Below are 14,275 nucleotides of genomic sequence, written 5' to 3'. Positions count from 1 at the left end.
AAATGGCCTGCCTGCCGGCCTCTCCCTGGGCAGACACCGTCCCCCGCCCCCCAGCCCAGGGGAGCCTTCTAGCATCTGAAAGTGGAAGGGACTCTTAGAACCATGGCTTCCAGGGCCAGACCAGCAGCAGCGCCACCTGGGAACATGCCGGAAATGCAAATTCTGGGTCTCAGCCTGACCTGCTGAATCAGGACTGGGGGAAGAGGCTGAGGTCTGTCTGAACACCCCCCGGGGGATGCTCATGGAGGTGGGAGCAAGGCACCGCTGCCTCGGGGCACTGCCCACTCCCTGGTCTGTAGAAGCCTCAAGCCTGGAGTGGGGCACGGCTCTCGCAGGGCGGCCACACACCGAGGGCCCCAGCTCCAGCCTGGCCGGCCACCTCAGATGAGCTGGCCCAAGCCCGTCCTCCGGCCTGGTTCTGCCCCCGTGATCCTGCACGTGGGACGTCAGCCACCTGTCAGGACACCTGGGGCAGACTGCCCCAGCGCTGGGCGGACACTCAGTGGGGCCTTCGCTGGGAACCGTGGGGCTGCGGGCCCTGGCCTTTGCACTTAGCCTGCTTCACCGACTCTTTCTTTCTCCGTTGGTCGCAGCCCCAGTGGACAGGAAAGCTAAGGCCTCAGCGATGCCGGACTCCCCAGCGGAGGTGAAGACGCAGCCCCGGTCCACACCCCCCAGCATGCCGCCCCCACCGCCTGCCGCATCCCAGGGGGCCACACGCCCCCCCTCCTTCACGCCACACACACGTAAGTAGCCCCCACCTGGCAGCCGAGGGCCAGGTGTTTCAGGGGAGGCCCTTGTGTTGTTTGAAATTCTGAGCTTCCTGCCCGGAGCCAGCGGGCACCTTCTGTGAGCCCTGAGTGTGAGGAGCTCGTGTGGCCCAGAGCCCAGGCTTGGCCGGTTCAAATCCCAGCTTCCCTGCTTCCCACTGGGTAGCTCCGGGTCATGTCCTTGCCCTCCGGGGGGCCTGGGCTTCCTCTTCTGCAATGCAGGTCCTCCCAGGGCTGTGGTGGGGCCAGGTGAGTCCACACAGGCCTTTCACCAGGGCCGGCCATGGGTCAAAGCCGGCCGCTGTGCCTCAGGCTTCCTGCCTCGTCCGGCAGGCCTAGGAATGCCAGGCTCATCCAGAGAGAACGTGGAACTCGGATGGGGTCAGGGGCTTCCGCAGGGTCATACAGCAGGTCACCTGCGTACAGGCCCCGTGGAGGGACCACAGAGGCAGCTCTGGCCTTGGAGGGGCTCAGATCTCAGGAGCTCCACAGCCCGGCTGAGCACGGGGGCCAGGGTGGGGGCCTTGGCACAGGAGGCCGGAAGGGTGGGACCTCAAGAAGCTGTCAGGCCTTGTCTTGCTGGCCCTGGCAAGGGGTTGGCCGTGCTTGGCGCACAGAGCCGCCGATGGTGGGCCCTGGGAGGCTGTGGGGCAGGGAACAGCCAGTTCTCATCACAGTCACCCGCAGAGCCTTGGCTTTGAGGACAGACATTGGTGCTCTTTGGCCCAGTTGCTGGGCCGGCGGGGTGGCAGCGTCCCTGTCCCTCAAGGCTGGGGGCTCAGGAGTGCATCTCAGTGTCTGCAGGGGGGAGACTCCATGTACCACCTCCACATGCAGCGGCCAGAAAGCCCCGTACCTGGGGGACCCTCCCCAGGCTCTGAAACTCAAACGAAGCCCCTCTCTGGGCGGGGAGCCTGAGACTTCCGTCCTGCTTGCCCCGGGTCCCTGACGGGCCAGAAAGAGCTGCTTCCTCAGTCCCTTTACGTCACGACTGTCCTCAGAGCACCGGGTGGCTATAGGCCAGGCCTGGCTCCCTCCCTGGCTCTGCCGCTGAGGCTGGGGGCCTGCTCCGCCGAGGGCTTTGGCCATCATCTCCCCTCCATCTGGAGAGAGCACTGGCTGTGCGGTCAGGCAGCAGATTTGCGGCCCTGTTTGTAGGATGTTGGCTCCGAGTCAGCCTCCCGACTTGGTTGGGGAATGGGGTGGCCCAGCAATGGGGTGCCCCCAGGTGTGCCGCCCAGAGGCAGGTACAGCTGGAAATGTGCCCGGCACTCAGTAGGAGCCAAACAGCCTAACGGCTACTCCCTGCACCCGCGGGGCCGGCCCTGCCTCAGAGAGTCGGGACGCCGCACTCACGATTTTGCAGGTCCTGGGGGACGGCGGGCCCAGCGTGCAGGTCCTGGCTCTGCGGAGCTGGCCACGGTTTCTAGTGAGAGGCTGGCTGGGCTTTTTCTCACATGTCCTTGTCACACGGCGATGTGGCCGGGCTGGGATCACCCTTCCCTCTCTTCGGAAGAGCCCTCCGGTCTGGTACAAACCACGGGCCGTCTCTCTACCAGGCAGCTTGCGACCACACCGAGCCCACATAGGTAGAGGGAGACCGCTGCTGTGTTAAATTTGCAGTATACCCCAGCCCCGGGGGAGGAAACGCTCAGGACGGACCACGGGAGACCCGGCCATGGGCGCAGTGCCTAAAACACCCGCTCCACAGACAACCTCAGGCCCCACTGTCAGGGACAAACACCGTGGGCTGAGCCTGGTTCCCCAGACCCTCAAGGGTGCGTCTCCCCCACCTGCTCTTCCCTGGGGACCAGCAGCCTCTGCTTGGAAGGTGCCGGTCTGATGCTCCTGGCTGGAGGTGGGTTGGGATCAGCAGAGCGTCGGGCTCTGCTTCTGGAGACCTGTGAACGGATGTGAGGGCAGCCGGCATGCCTGGGGCTGGGGTCCTTCCTGCTCCCTCCACTCCCAGCCCGCCTTGGGGTCATGTTTTTGGGGTGAGGTCCCAGCTGGTTTAAGGAGCGTGAAGGTTATGAAAGAGATAAGCAGGTGCTTTTTCTTTTCTAAGCCGATGCTTCAGTCCCACTGGGCTGTCAGCAGCATCAGTCTGAGGCTCTGGCCACCCCTGAGGTAGCCTCAGATTTATCCCCTAATCCACACAATTCCGTGAAAGCCAGGTGGTTGGCCGCACCCCTGCCCCTGGCTGGTGGGTGGTGGGTGCCCTTCAGGGGCCACAGCTCAGTTGCAGAGCCCTGCCGGGAGGCTCCTCCCCGGGGACTGGCCTCTGAGCCAAGCTGATGGGAGACTGAGTCTGAACGGAGACTTGAGGGCCGAAGTTTCTCTTGCCCAGTGACAGCCCTGGGCGCAAATTCATCTTGGAGTTGAAGCTGCGGTGCTGCTGTGGGGTGGGGGGTGGGGAGGGGGAAGGCATATAAGGAGCAGGGACCCAGACCAAGCTCCTCTAAAGCTGGGAGGACGCTTAAAGGGCTAAGGCTTTATCCTGCCCTTGATTACCCCCATGACAGAGAACTCACTACCCGTCTTTACTAGAGCCTGTCTTCCTGTGGCCTGCGCCACTGACTTCAGCTCGAACAAATTCAATCTTTCTTTCTTTTTTTATATAGTAGAGTTTGGGTCTCCCTACGTCGCCCAGGCTGGTCTTGAACTCCTGGGCTCAAGCAATCCTCCCGCCTCAGCCTCCCAAAGTGCTGGGATTACAGGCGTGAGCCACTGAGCCCAGCCGAATCTTTCTTCCTGTTTGGTGCTTCCTCCTCCAGTGCCGACCCAGGGCTTTGTTTCAGAGACTCCAAGCCGAGTCTCAGGTCGCTTTTAGGACACGCGGCTTCGGCCCAGGTCCCTGAGGATGGTGCTCATGGGGTCACAGGGGCCTTCTGGGAAGAGGACGATGAAAACAAGGGGCCCCGCCCCTGCTCATAGAGAAGCCGCGGTTCTTGTAAACTCCGGAACAGTGCTGCCAGAACGGCCCTTAGGGATCACCCACTCTCAGAGAAGGAAACTGAGGCTCGGAGAGGGGAGTGGCCTGGCCCCAGGTGGTGACAGAGCCCCGTCAGAAAATCACTCTGAGAAGCAGGAAACGGCGGCCCGGGCGTCCCTGAGGGCAGAGTCTCCTGCCCAGGCCCCTCCGAAAATCAAAAATCACTCTGAGAAGCAAGAAAAGGCGGCCCGGGTGCCCCTGAGGGCAGTCTCCTGCCCACGCCCCCACCAAAAATCACTCTGAGAAGTAGGAAAAGGTGGCCGCGGGCGCCCCTGAGGGCAGAGTCTCCTGCCCACGCCCCTCCTGACAGCGTGTTCTTCTTATTTTGCTTACAGATCGAGAGGACGGGCCTGCGACGCTGCCCCACGGCCGTTTTCATGGCTGCTTAAAATGGTCTATGGTCTGTCTCTGTAAGTAAAATAACAAAAACCGCAGGCCTCCCCAGAGGTCTTCACCGCAGCATCCTCAGCTGGCCCAACACTGCTGCCCTGGGGGCGCTCAGCTCTCCTCCCCGGCCTCCGCACCCTCAGCATTGCCTCTGTTGTGTTGGTCTTGCCTCCTTAGGGAGAAGAGGGCGCAGGAGGGCAGAGCCGCCGGGTCGCTGCATCCCACAGACCCTCCGCTCCAAGCTGCGGGGCCTTAGGCAGGAGCAGAGCCTCTCTGAGCTCTCCTTCCCCAGCAGCAAAACATGGCCAATGGGGCTGACTGCGAGTGCCGAGGGGAGGGGCGAGACACTGTCCCTGGCCAGCCTGTAGCTCAGCTATTGCTAGGGCAGACCCCACCTACCTGGAGTCCCAGCTGCAACTGTTCCTGCCAGGGTGACCTTGGCCAGGTACCACCCCCCGTGCCTCAGTTTCCCCACCTGTAAAATGGAAGTCATCATGGCCCCTAGTGCCAATGGTGATCTCCAGGAGCCGTCAGATGGTGGGGCCGGGCACATGCTGAGAGCTCAGCAGACTTGAGTCACCAGCAGACGTTTCTGTCAACGTGCGTGGCCCATGGCGGGCGTTCAGGGAGCATGGGCTCTTACCAGGTGGTGGTTATAGTTTTTGTCAACCACTGAGTGCAGCCATGCTTGAGCCCATCAGACAGACTCCGGTCCATCACTACCAGCCAGCCTGGCAGCATGGCCCAGGTGTGGCTGTCGTGGCACTCCCGGCTCTAAGAACGAGGGCAGCAGAACAACTGTGCGTTGTTTCTGTTGCACAGGGCTGTCCTTTTCACAGCCATTATTCTGTGATGGGCCTGGCCACGCACTCGCGCCTGGCGTGCAGCTCCTGGACAGTGGCTCTTGTCATCCACTCTGTGATCTTATGGATGGCAAAGTTGGTGAATCCCAGATCCCGGAGCCCCCACAGCAAGGAGCAGGGGTGACAGGAGGGGCTGCGTTAGGGTGCCTCTGTCGCATCTGACCCCCCCACCAAGGCTCTGAGGCTGGGGGAGCCGCGGGGGTGCTCGCGTGTGCCCCCAATCCTCAGCTGGGGACACGTGTGCGGTCTAACTTAGGAACACACCTGTCGTGGGAATGAAAGCGCTTGTGCCGGGGTTATTTTTGGCGTCTCTTTAGCTGCTGAGACTGCCCAGCAGCGCGGGAGGGAGTGCGCGGGCAGGCGAGGGCGAGCAGGCCGCCGGAAGGACCAGGCACCCGGGGCAAGGCTGGTAAGCGCACCTAAGGGAGGGCCAGGCCCAGGCTGGCCGGGGCGGTGGGCAGGGGCCCCGGCGTGCACTGTGGCGCGTCTGAGAAGCTGCTGGAAGGTCCACAGTCCTGACGACAGTCCCTCGTGTTCTGGAGAAACCAGCCTCCCGCTGCAGTGAGGTCTCCCATGGTGACGGGCCATCTCCTGGCCTGGCTGGGTGACCGCAAGTGGCTATCCTCAGTCTTGACGGGGTGTGTGTGTCACAGTCCACCGTGTGGCCACATGGAGCTCACCATTGAGAGGGAAACTCGGCAGCGCGGTGGGGTCCTCCGGACAGAGGCTCAGAAGGCGAGAGACCAGGGGCTCGGTGCATCCTGTGTCAGCGTCCACTGTCCCCCCAGAAGAGGGAAAGCCCCAGAATACGACGCCGTTATCGGTGCCGCGCGCTCCAGAGGGCCGGTGCGTCCATCCTGAGCCCAGGAAGGCGCTGCTAAGATCGTTCAAGCCAGGGGCGCAGACAGGCTACCCCCTGTGCAGGTTGCCCGGTTGAGGGGAGCAGCCGCTCAGAACAGCGTGTGGAGGTTCGCGGCCCCAGCAACAGAGATGTCTCAATCCTGCAGCCCCCCCGTAGGGAAAGTCTGAGGCCACGCGTGCACTCAAGGTTTTGTGCCATATCTGACCTGCGATTAGTGGTTTCCAGAATTCCACTAGGTGTGGGGGCTGTTTATTGCCAACAGCCTCACACAACACCCGACCCATAAAACCAGTCAGGATGGAGCAACCCTGGGGGGCTGACTTGGGCAGCGCAGGAGAGGCTGGGGAAGCCCAGGTCAGGCCTGAGCGACTCTGGCTGGGGACACACAGTACAAAGGAGGTCACTGCCATGCTGTCCTCTGGTCCCTGGAGCCCCACTTGGAACTCCAGGATGGGTTGGGAGCCATTTGCAAATGAAGAAACTGAGGCTAGGCGCCGAGTCTGACTCACAGGGCACGTCTGGGCCTGGCGGCCGGTCCTCACTCCTAACCAGGGCAGCTTCCCCCAGCCCTCGAGGGCAGGGCCGTGTCTGTCTGGACTTCCTCACCACGCTGGTGTGTCTGAGGGCCTCTGTAGCATCCCCCGCCCTCCTGGCCTCCCACAGCCCCTGCAGTGGGTATCTGTGAGGCCCAGGCTGGAGTGAGAGCAGAGTGAGCGCTGGGCCCCGGGGGAGGCAGTCGTGGGCACACCTGTTCCCCCCGCTCCACCAAGAACATCCAGAGCACAGGGCCGGCCTCCCCCCTGTGCCACTGTGCCCAGCGCTGTTTGCTCGGTGTGTGGGGCCTGCCGGGGACGGGAGGCAATCTGGGGGAGCCGGGCTGCCCTGCTGTGTGTCTTCGGTTCCTCGGAGCCCATTTGCCGCATGGGATGTGTGTGATAACCGCGCAGCCTGTGTGCAGGTGTAGAGCCCAGCCCGGGCCACAGCACAGCTTCCTGACCCGGGCGCACTTCGCAGGTGCCACTAGACCACGGGTCGGGAAGGTGGGAGCCTCAGGCGGCTTCTGGGAAGGCGGAGTGGAGGAAGCTGATGGCGGCCACCTAAAGGTTACTGGAGGGACACTTAGAGAGGGCCTGACCCCTCAGAAGGGCCTTGTTGGAGGTACGGGCTGGTCAGTGCCCTCTGGAGGGTGCGGCCCCTTCCAGTCCAGGCCTGCAGGAGCGGGTAGAAAGGGAGGCCTGGCCTAGCCGGAGCCCCAGCTGTGGGGACGCAGCCCAGAAAGGGGGGCCGGCATGTAGGTCCCCACGTCCCATGTTCCCTCCCGTCCAGACAGAGGCCACAACACTCAGCAGGGGTCACCTCCCAGGGGCCAGGTCAGGATGGGCAGGGCTGGCCTGATCTGAAGGGTACACCAAGACCCCCCACCATCCAGGGCACAGGAAGGAAACAGCTGGTGCCTGCCGGCTGCCCAGGGGGAGCCGCTGCACCAGCCCAGCCCAGGGGCGTCTCCATCCTGTAGAAAGGGTTTTCCCCTCCTCCTCGGCGCACACAGGCCCCGCCAGGTCTCAGCCACAGGTGCGAACACACGGCTGGGGCCTCGGAGGAATTCGGCCCTGAGGGAGCAGGTGGCTCTGAGCTGCCCCCCACCCGTAGACCCACACTCTCAGCACGGGTGAGGGGTGGATCCCCTGGAGAGGGGCACTTGGGGCCACAGTGGAGCAAGAGAGACGAGCGTGTACATCATAGCCGTGCATGTGTGTGTGCATGTGTGTACATTGTGTGCATGTGTATATGTATGCATGTGTGTGTGCATGTGTGTGTGCATGTGTGTACATTGTGTGCATGTGTATATGTATGCATGTGTGTGTGCATGTGTGTGTGCATGTGTGTACATTGTGTGCATGTGTATATGTATGCATGTGTGCGTGCATGTGTGTACATTGTGTGCATGTGTATATGTATGCATGTGTGTGTGCATGTGTGTGTGCATGTGTGTACATTGTGTGCATGTGTATATGTATGCATGTGTGTGTGCATGTGTGCGTGCATGTGTGTACATTGTGTGCATGTGTATATGTATGCATGTGTGTGTGCATGTGTGCGTGCATGTGTGTACATTGTGTGCATGTGTATATGTATGCATGTGTGTGTGCATGTGTGCGTGCATGTGTGTACATTGTGTGCATGTGTATATGTATGCATGTGTGTGTGCATGTGTGCGTGCATGTGTGTAAGGGTGGTGGGGGGTGAGTGGAGGCAGGGAAATGGAGGGCTCGCTCTGAGGGCAGGGGAGTTGGTACCCTTTGTAGGGAGCGTGTCCTTCTGCAGGAGGCGGGAGCCAGCCGTGAGTGTGTGCGGGGCTTCAGTCCTCCTGACAGAAGGAGCTGGCCAGGACTTCAGGCCTCCCAGAGGCATCCAGTCCCCCTCCCCTGTCAGCAAGGGACTTGGGAGCCCTGTGACCTCTGACCTGCCTTCAGAGCCTGGAGGCCGCCCCTCAGGCTCCTGAGGCCAAGGGCACGGGGTGCGGGTGTCCCAGGCGCAGGAGGGGTGCGCTGGCCGCCTTGCAAGAGGCTTGGCCTTAGCTCTGTCACCTGAGAAAAGGGGTGAGGCCCGGCCCTGGGACTTTCCATAGCAGCCCCATGTCTGCCAGGCCCCTGGAACACTGACCCCAATAGCAGGGCCAGCCAGGCAGTCACGTCTCAGTGGCCAACAGGCGGCCCTGCAGCGCGCTCATCAGCTGTTCCTTATGTCACCTGCTTGTCCTCAACATGCACTGGCCTGTGTGCACGGGCATCTGCGTGTCCAGCCGCCAGGGGCAGGAACCCACCCAGTGTGTCCTTGGGTGTCCCAGCTCCTCTGCCCCCTGGAACCCCATTAGCAGGCGTTGGGGCTGTGTGCAAATGAAGGCATTGCTCATGGCTGGGAGTCACCTGTCTGGGACATTGCTCATGGCTGGGAGTCACCTGTCTGGGACATTGCTCAGGGCTGGGAGACACTTGTAGGAGGGACATTGCTCTGCTGGAAAGCACCTGCAGCGCATATTGCTCAGGGCTGGGAGGCACCTGTGTGTCGGGGGGGGCACATTGCTCAGGGCTGGGAGGCGCCTGTGTGTGGGGAGGCACATTGCTCAGGGCTGGGAGGCGCCTGTGTGTGGGGAGGCACATTGCTCAGGGCTGGGAGGCACCTGTTGTGGGGACATTGCTCAGGGCTGGGAGATGCCTGATTGGGGGTGGGGGTATTGCTTGGGAACATCATGCCAGAGGTGATGGTAGCTGGCCTTTCGGGGGATGAGCGACTTCTCATTTTCCAAGTCTCCTGTGCCTCCAGAAAGTGGGAAGTGAGCCATCAAGCCCCCGACGTGTGGAGAAGCCCCTTGCTCCCTGTTCACAGTGAAAACCTGAGCCAGCCTGGTAGGGTTGGTGTCTCCCAGGCCAGGCGTAGGGGCCGCACCCCTGCTGGGTGTGAAGGGCCTGACTTCAGCCCCAGAGCAAGTCCCAAGAGTGGTGCCAGGCAGGAGAAGCCACACTCAGAACGCAGTCATTCCACGGCCACCACCATTGTGGGTGCCATCCCAGCCCTTACCCATTGGGGACCTGGGGCAAAGAGGCTTCACCTCCCTGGGAATCCATTTCCAGGTCTGTAAGGGGGTGTGTGTGACCTCTCAGAGCAGGGCCGGAAGGACAGATGGTCAGCATGCTAAGGGCCAGCTCAGCTGCCCTGGGCGGGCCCAGGGCTCCTGCTGTCATCCTCAGCGCTACTGTCCTTGTGTCTCATCATTGTTGCCGTCACTTTTGACATTGTCACCTTAGTCGCTGCTTCCCTCACTGTCGCCGCCGTCTGGGTTGTGTTGTCACCATCACCTTTGTGTCCTCATGTCCGCTTCCCTCCTGCAGTGATGAACGGCAGCAGCCACTCACCAACAGCCATCAATGGTGCACCGTGCACACCCAACGGCTTCAGCAATGGCCCGGCCACCTCGTCCACAGCCTCCTTGTCCACACAGCACCTGCCCCCAGCCTGCGGGGCCCGGCAGCTCAGCAAGCTCAAGCGCTTCCTCACCACACTGCAGCAGTTTGGCAGCGACATCTCCCCAGAGATTGGGGAGCGCGTGCGCACACTGGTGCTGGGCCTGGTGGTGAGTTGGGCAGGGACAGCCGGGGCCTTGGGACATGCATATTCCCTCCGTTTAATGAGGTTGCAGCCACGGCCACTCCTTACATGGGCTCCACGCTGACAACCGGGCGTGGACCCGCTCCCACGATGCCACCTGCACCCTCTCAGGCCGTGCCCAGCTCCTGGGCTGCCTGCCTGCCTCCAACACGGAAGCCTCCTCCTCAGGCATGGGTGGGTCGGCGCTGGCTCACATGCCGAGCGGTGCTGATGTGAGGTGGGTTTTCTCCCCTGCAGAACTCGACATTGACGATCGAGGAGTTTCATTCCAAGCTTCAGGAGGCCACCAACTTCCCTCTGCGGCCGTTTGTCATTCCCTTCCTGAAGGTAATGCGAAACCCGTCCCCCGTGCTGCGGGAGCCTCCCTAGAAGGCCCCTTAATCCCACTCCTTGCCAGCGTGGACAGCGGTGGACAGGCGGGAAGGGGCTTAAGTGGCCAGATAGGCAGGTGGATGAAGAGGTGTGAGGCATCGATCTTGGCCAACCTGGGACCCTGTGGTACCCTAGGGGAGCACTGCTGACTAGTCAGGGTTGACTCCTACTAGTTAAGGCCTGAAAATTAGTTGCCAGACCGGATGATTATCAGCCCTTAAATCCAGCACAGGACAGAGCTGTCCGGTTCGCCTCTGGTTGCCGTTGGCCGAATGTGCTCGCTCACTCCACGGGTGATTTTTGAGCACTGACGACGTGCCAGTGTGGGGGCAAGGCTCGGGGATAGGGCCCAGGACATGCAGCAGGTCCCTCCTGGAGCCAGCACCCTGGGGTGGGAAGGCGTTCGGTCCACAGCCACTCTCAAATCTGCAGCTGCACGTGGTGGAGAAGTATTCCGAAAGTCCTTTGCTTGGAGGCGTGTTGGTGAGGGCTGAGGATGAGGGCGGAGCTAGGTGCAGAGCCAGCGCAGGGTTTTCCAGACAGCAGTAACTGCACGTGCAGAGGCCCTGAGGTATGGGGCGCCCGCTGTGCTTGAGGAACAGCAGAGGGGTCAGTGTGACTGGAACAGAATACGTGGGGTGGAGAGAGCAGAGGTGAGGGCGGGAGGTGAGGGCGGTAGACAGGCGGGAAGGGGCTTCTGTGGCTGCGCAGGCCGATGGATGAAGAGGTGTCAGGTGAAAGCAGGTCAGATGGTCACACCCAGATCAACCGTGGACCAGGGTGGCAGCACGCGGGGCTTGTCAGCTTTGCAGGCTCTCGGCCCGGCCCAAACCTGCTGAATCAGAGCCTGCATTTTTAAAGATGCCAGTCTGAGGAACGGGGATTGCTTGAGGCCAGGAGTTCAAGACCAGCCTGGGCAACACAGCTAGACCCCATCTCTACAAAAAATATAAAAATTAGCTGAGCGTTGTATGCACCTATGATCCCAGCTACCCGGGAGGCTGAGGTGGGAGGATTGCTTGAATCCAGGAGGTCGAGACTGCAGTGAGCTGTGATCACGCCACTGCACTCCAGCCTGGGCGACAGAGCAACACCCTGTCTCTGAACGAATGAATGAATGAATGAATGAATGAAGCCAGTGATTCCCATGGGAGAGTGATTCCCACGCACACACAGACGGGACGGGCACGGGAGTGCCGTGGAGTCAGACTGCCATCTCTGCGGGTCTCCATTTCCCCAAGACGGCTGCACATCTCTAGCAGGAGCTGAGGAAAGGTTCCCCAAATGTGTCTGACCATGTGACCTTCTCTGCCGAGCACGTGTTGGGGTCAGGGTTCCGTGGAGCTTAGTTGGGAGCTGCCAGCCTGGCCACACCTTCGGGCCCAGCCTGAGCACTGCCCGTACTGCTGTGGGCTCCATCTCTGCTGGGCCAGGCCTCCCCTCGGGGGTCCAGAGGACAGACCAGACCAGATGCTCCCTGGCTTGAGCCCGAGCCTGCCACTTAGCAGCTGTTGGCCCCTGGGTGAGGCCAGTTCCTCTGTGCTTCGGTTTCTGTATCTGCAAAATGGAATCATCCTCAGGCTGTTGAGGAGACAGCGTGGAGGGACACGCGGAAAGAACGGGGCCTCACTCCCGGGCTCAGGGGAATCTTCCACCTCAGCCTCCCAGGTAGCGGGGACTACAGGGAGGTGAGGCATGTTCTAGATTCACGCGGGGCATCGTCCAGGGATTTGAAACGTCCCCTGGAGGAGGAGGAATCGCGGGGCATCGTCCAGGGATTTGAAACGTCCCCTGGAGGAGGAGGAATCGCGGGGCATCGTCCAGGGATTTGAAACGTCCCCTGGAGGAGGAGGAATCACGGGGCGTCGTCCCTGGAGGAGGAGGAATCGCACGGCGTCGTCCCTGGAGGAGGAGGAATCGCGGGGCGTCGTCCCTGAAGGAGGAGGAATCGCGGGGCGTCGTCCAGGGATTTGAAGTGTCCCTGGAGGAGGAGGAATCGCGGGGCATCGTCCAGGGATTTGAAGTGTCCCTGGAGGAGGAGGAATCGCGTGGCGTCGTCCCTGGAGGAGGAGGAATCGCGGGGCGTCGTCCAGGGATTTGAAGTGTCCCTGGAGGAGGAGGAATCGCGGGGTGTCGTCCCTGGAGGAGGAGGAGTGCTTCAGGAAGGTCTCTCACAGACCTGTTGGCCTCTGTCAAGGTGTAGTGTAGGCACTGCCATGTTCCTGATTAACAGGTGGGGAAACTGAGGCTCTGGGTTCCCCCCAGGTAGTGGAGAGAGGGCGCCAGGGCTCAAACCTAGGTCTGTCAAATTCCAAACGCCCTGGTCGTCCCAGGGCACTTACAGGGTCAGACCCTCATTCCCCTCAGTCCCTCCCCAAGGGGACCCCACATCACACCCACCTCTGTTCCCACCCTCGCTCCCTCCCTCCCGCCCCTGCCTCCTCTGCTTTTTCCTGCCCTCCCTCCCTCCGCTGCCCCAGTCCTCCCTCCCTCCCACCACCCCCTCCTTTCCTCCTGCCCTCCCTCCTCTATCGCTCCATCCCTCCTCCCGCCTTCCTCCGCCCCCTCCCACGCCCTGCTGTGCTCATGCTCCCAGATGGTGACAAAAGAGAAGCTTCTGGAGTGGCAGGAGCCTGGGCCCATCTGGCGTCGTTTGCAGTTCGTTAGCGGCCCTTCCCTTCCCTTCTTTTAACTTGCTGCGGACTCCACCCCTCCCAGTCTTTGGGGACACAGTGCGCCTGCTTATTACCAACAGATGCCCCCAGCCTCAGCCACCCTTGCTTAACTGAGGATCAGGGTCAGGCAGAGAAACGCCGCAGCATCCCCACCCTTGCCCCCACCAGGCCTACGGCCCCTGTCCATGACGTCTGGTCAGGCCCTGGTGTCCCCCGGCCACGCCCCAGCAGGTGCCGCCCGCGGCCCGGCTCTCGTGAGGGCCGTGTCCACCTCAGTCTCCCCTTGGTACACAGGGGATCCCACGGCCTGTGTGGGGTAGCTGGAGCTCAGGGCCAGCCCACCTCGTGCCCCCACCCGGGGCCCGGGGCCAGTGGGACATGAAGTCTGTTCACCTCTCTGACATGGCGCTTCTAGGGGGAGGCCAGGAGGATTCAAAAATAAAAAATAAAGATCTTGCGGCCAGTCCTGCTTCCAGGTCTTGTGGCTCAGATACAAGCCAGAACCCTGGCCCTACTGTCACTGTCCCACCCAGGGAGCAGCCCCCACCCCACCCCTCCCACCCACCCCACCCCACCCCACCCCCTCCCACCCCACCCCACCCCTACCCCACCCCCACCCCACCCCTCCCCCACCCACACCCTTCCCCCACCCCACCCCTCCCCAACCCCACCCGCACCCCCCCAACCCCACCCACACCCCTGCAGGGCCGCAGCCCCTTCAGACACAGAGTGCAGTGGGGGAGTCCGACCTTCCCAGGCCAGACAGGAGGTGCCGAGTGGGAGTGACCCCCAGCCAGTCCCCTTGGGCCTCGGTGTTCCTGACTGTGGCCTGGGCTGGGGGAGGGGTAGCACCTTCCCAAGACATCCACAGCCCGCCAGGCCCAGTCTGGGGTACTCTCACGCAGTCCTTGAAGACATCATCCTAGAAACGGCAGGAATCGTGGCTGAGGGGCCGGAGAGAGTGGGGGCCTGCTTGGCTGGAACCCCAGCCCTGGCTTGGGCCCTCTCTCTCGTAGTTGGGGTGGTGAATCTCCCTCACGGGGTGGTGGGAAAGGACTGAGCTGATTCACCCGGAGCTCCCCGGAGTCTGTCTCGGCCAGAGGCTCCACAGCGCTAGTTTGCAGATACAGCAAGGGTCAGAGAGGTTAAATGACCAGCCCAAGGCCACAGCCCCTCTATGGCAGAGC

General features: G+C 62.1%; 1 protein-coding gene across 6 annotated transcripts in view, besides 2 other annotated features; it reads left to right on the top strand.

Moving 5' to 3' along the window:
- The window catches only part of CBFA2T3 (CBFA2/RUNX1 partner transcriptional co-repressor 3), a 102,350-nt gene that overhangs the window by 74,958 nt on the left and 13,117 nt on the right, over positions 1 to 14,275 (top strand). For 3 of the 6 annotated variants that reach the window (XR_007064926.1, NM_005187.6, XM_011523419.4), the window contains exons 2-5: positions 594 to 746; positions 4,098 to 4,172; positions 9,765 to 10,006; positions 10,279 to 10,368. Coding sequence is in view for 5 of the 6 variants with exons in the window: in NM_005187.6 (NP_005178.4) it covers positions 594 to 746; positions 4,098 to 4,172; positions 9,765 to 10,006; positions 10,279 to 10,368 (560 nt within the window). In the remaining variant the exon portion in view is untranslated. The remainder of the gene's footprint in view (positions 1 to 593; positions 747 to 4,097; positions 4,173 to 9,764; positions 10,007 to 10,278; positions 10,369 to 14,275) is intronic. The other 3 variants (XM_005256323.6, XM_047434826.1, NM_175931.3) reach the window with 1 other exon arrangement.
- Positions 8,746 to 8,795: an enhancer, noted in NCBI's record as "active region_11374". NCBI's record gives its function as "activates an Ori minimal core promoter by ATAC-STARR-seq in GM12878 lymphoblastoid cells {active_cell/tissue: GM12878}" and the evidence as "EXISTENCE:reporter gene assay evidence [ECO:0000049][PMID:35858748]".
- Positions 9,535 to 10,035: an enhancer, noted in NCBI's record as "H3K4me1 hESC enhancer chr16:88958623-88959123 (GRCh37/hg19 assembly coordinates)". NCBI's record gives its function as "activates a minimal SCP1, AML or CMV promoter by ChIP-STARR-seq in naive H9 embryonic stem cells {active_cell/tissue: H9 hESC(naive)}" and the evidence as "EXISTENCE:reporter gene assay evidence [ECO:0000049][PMID:30033119]".

This window comes from Homo sapiens, chromosome 16 (genome assembly GCF_000001405.40).
Source record: "Homo sapiens chromosome 16, GRCh38.p14 Primary Assembly".
In the NCBI taxonomy this organism is placed as follows: Eukaryota; Metazoa; Chordata; class Mammalia; order Primates; family Hominidae; genus Homo; species Homo sapiens.
This window is presented reverse-complemented; position numbering and strand designations above follow the sequence as displayed.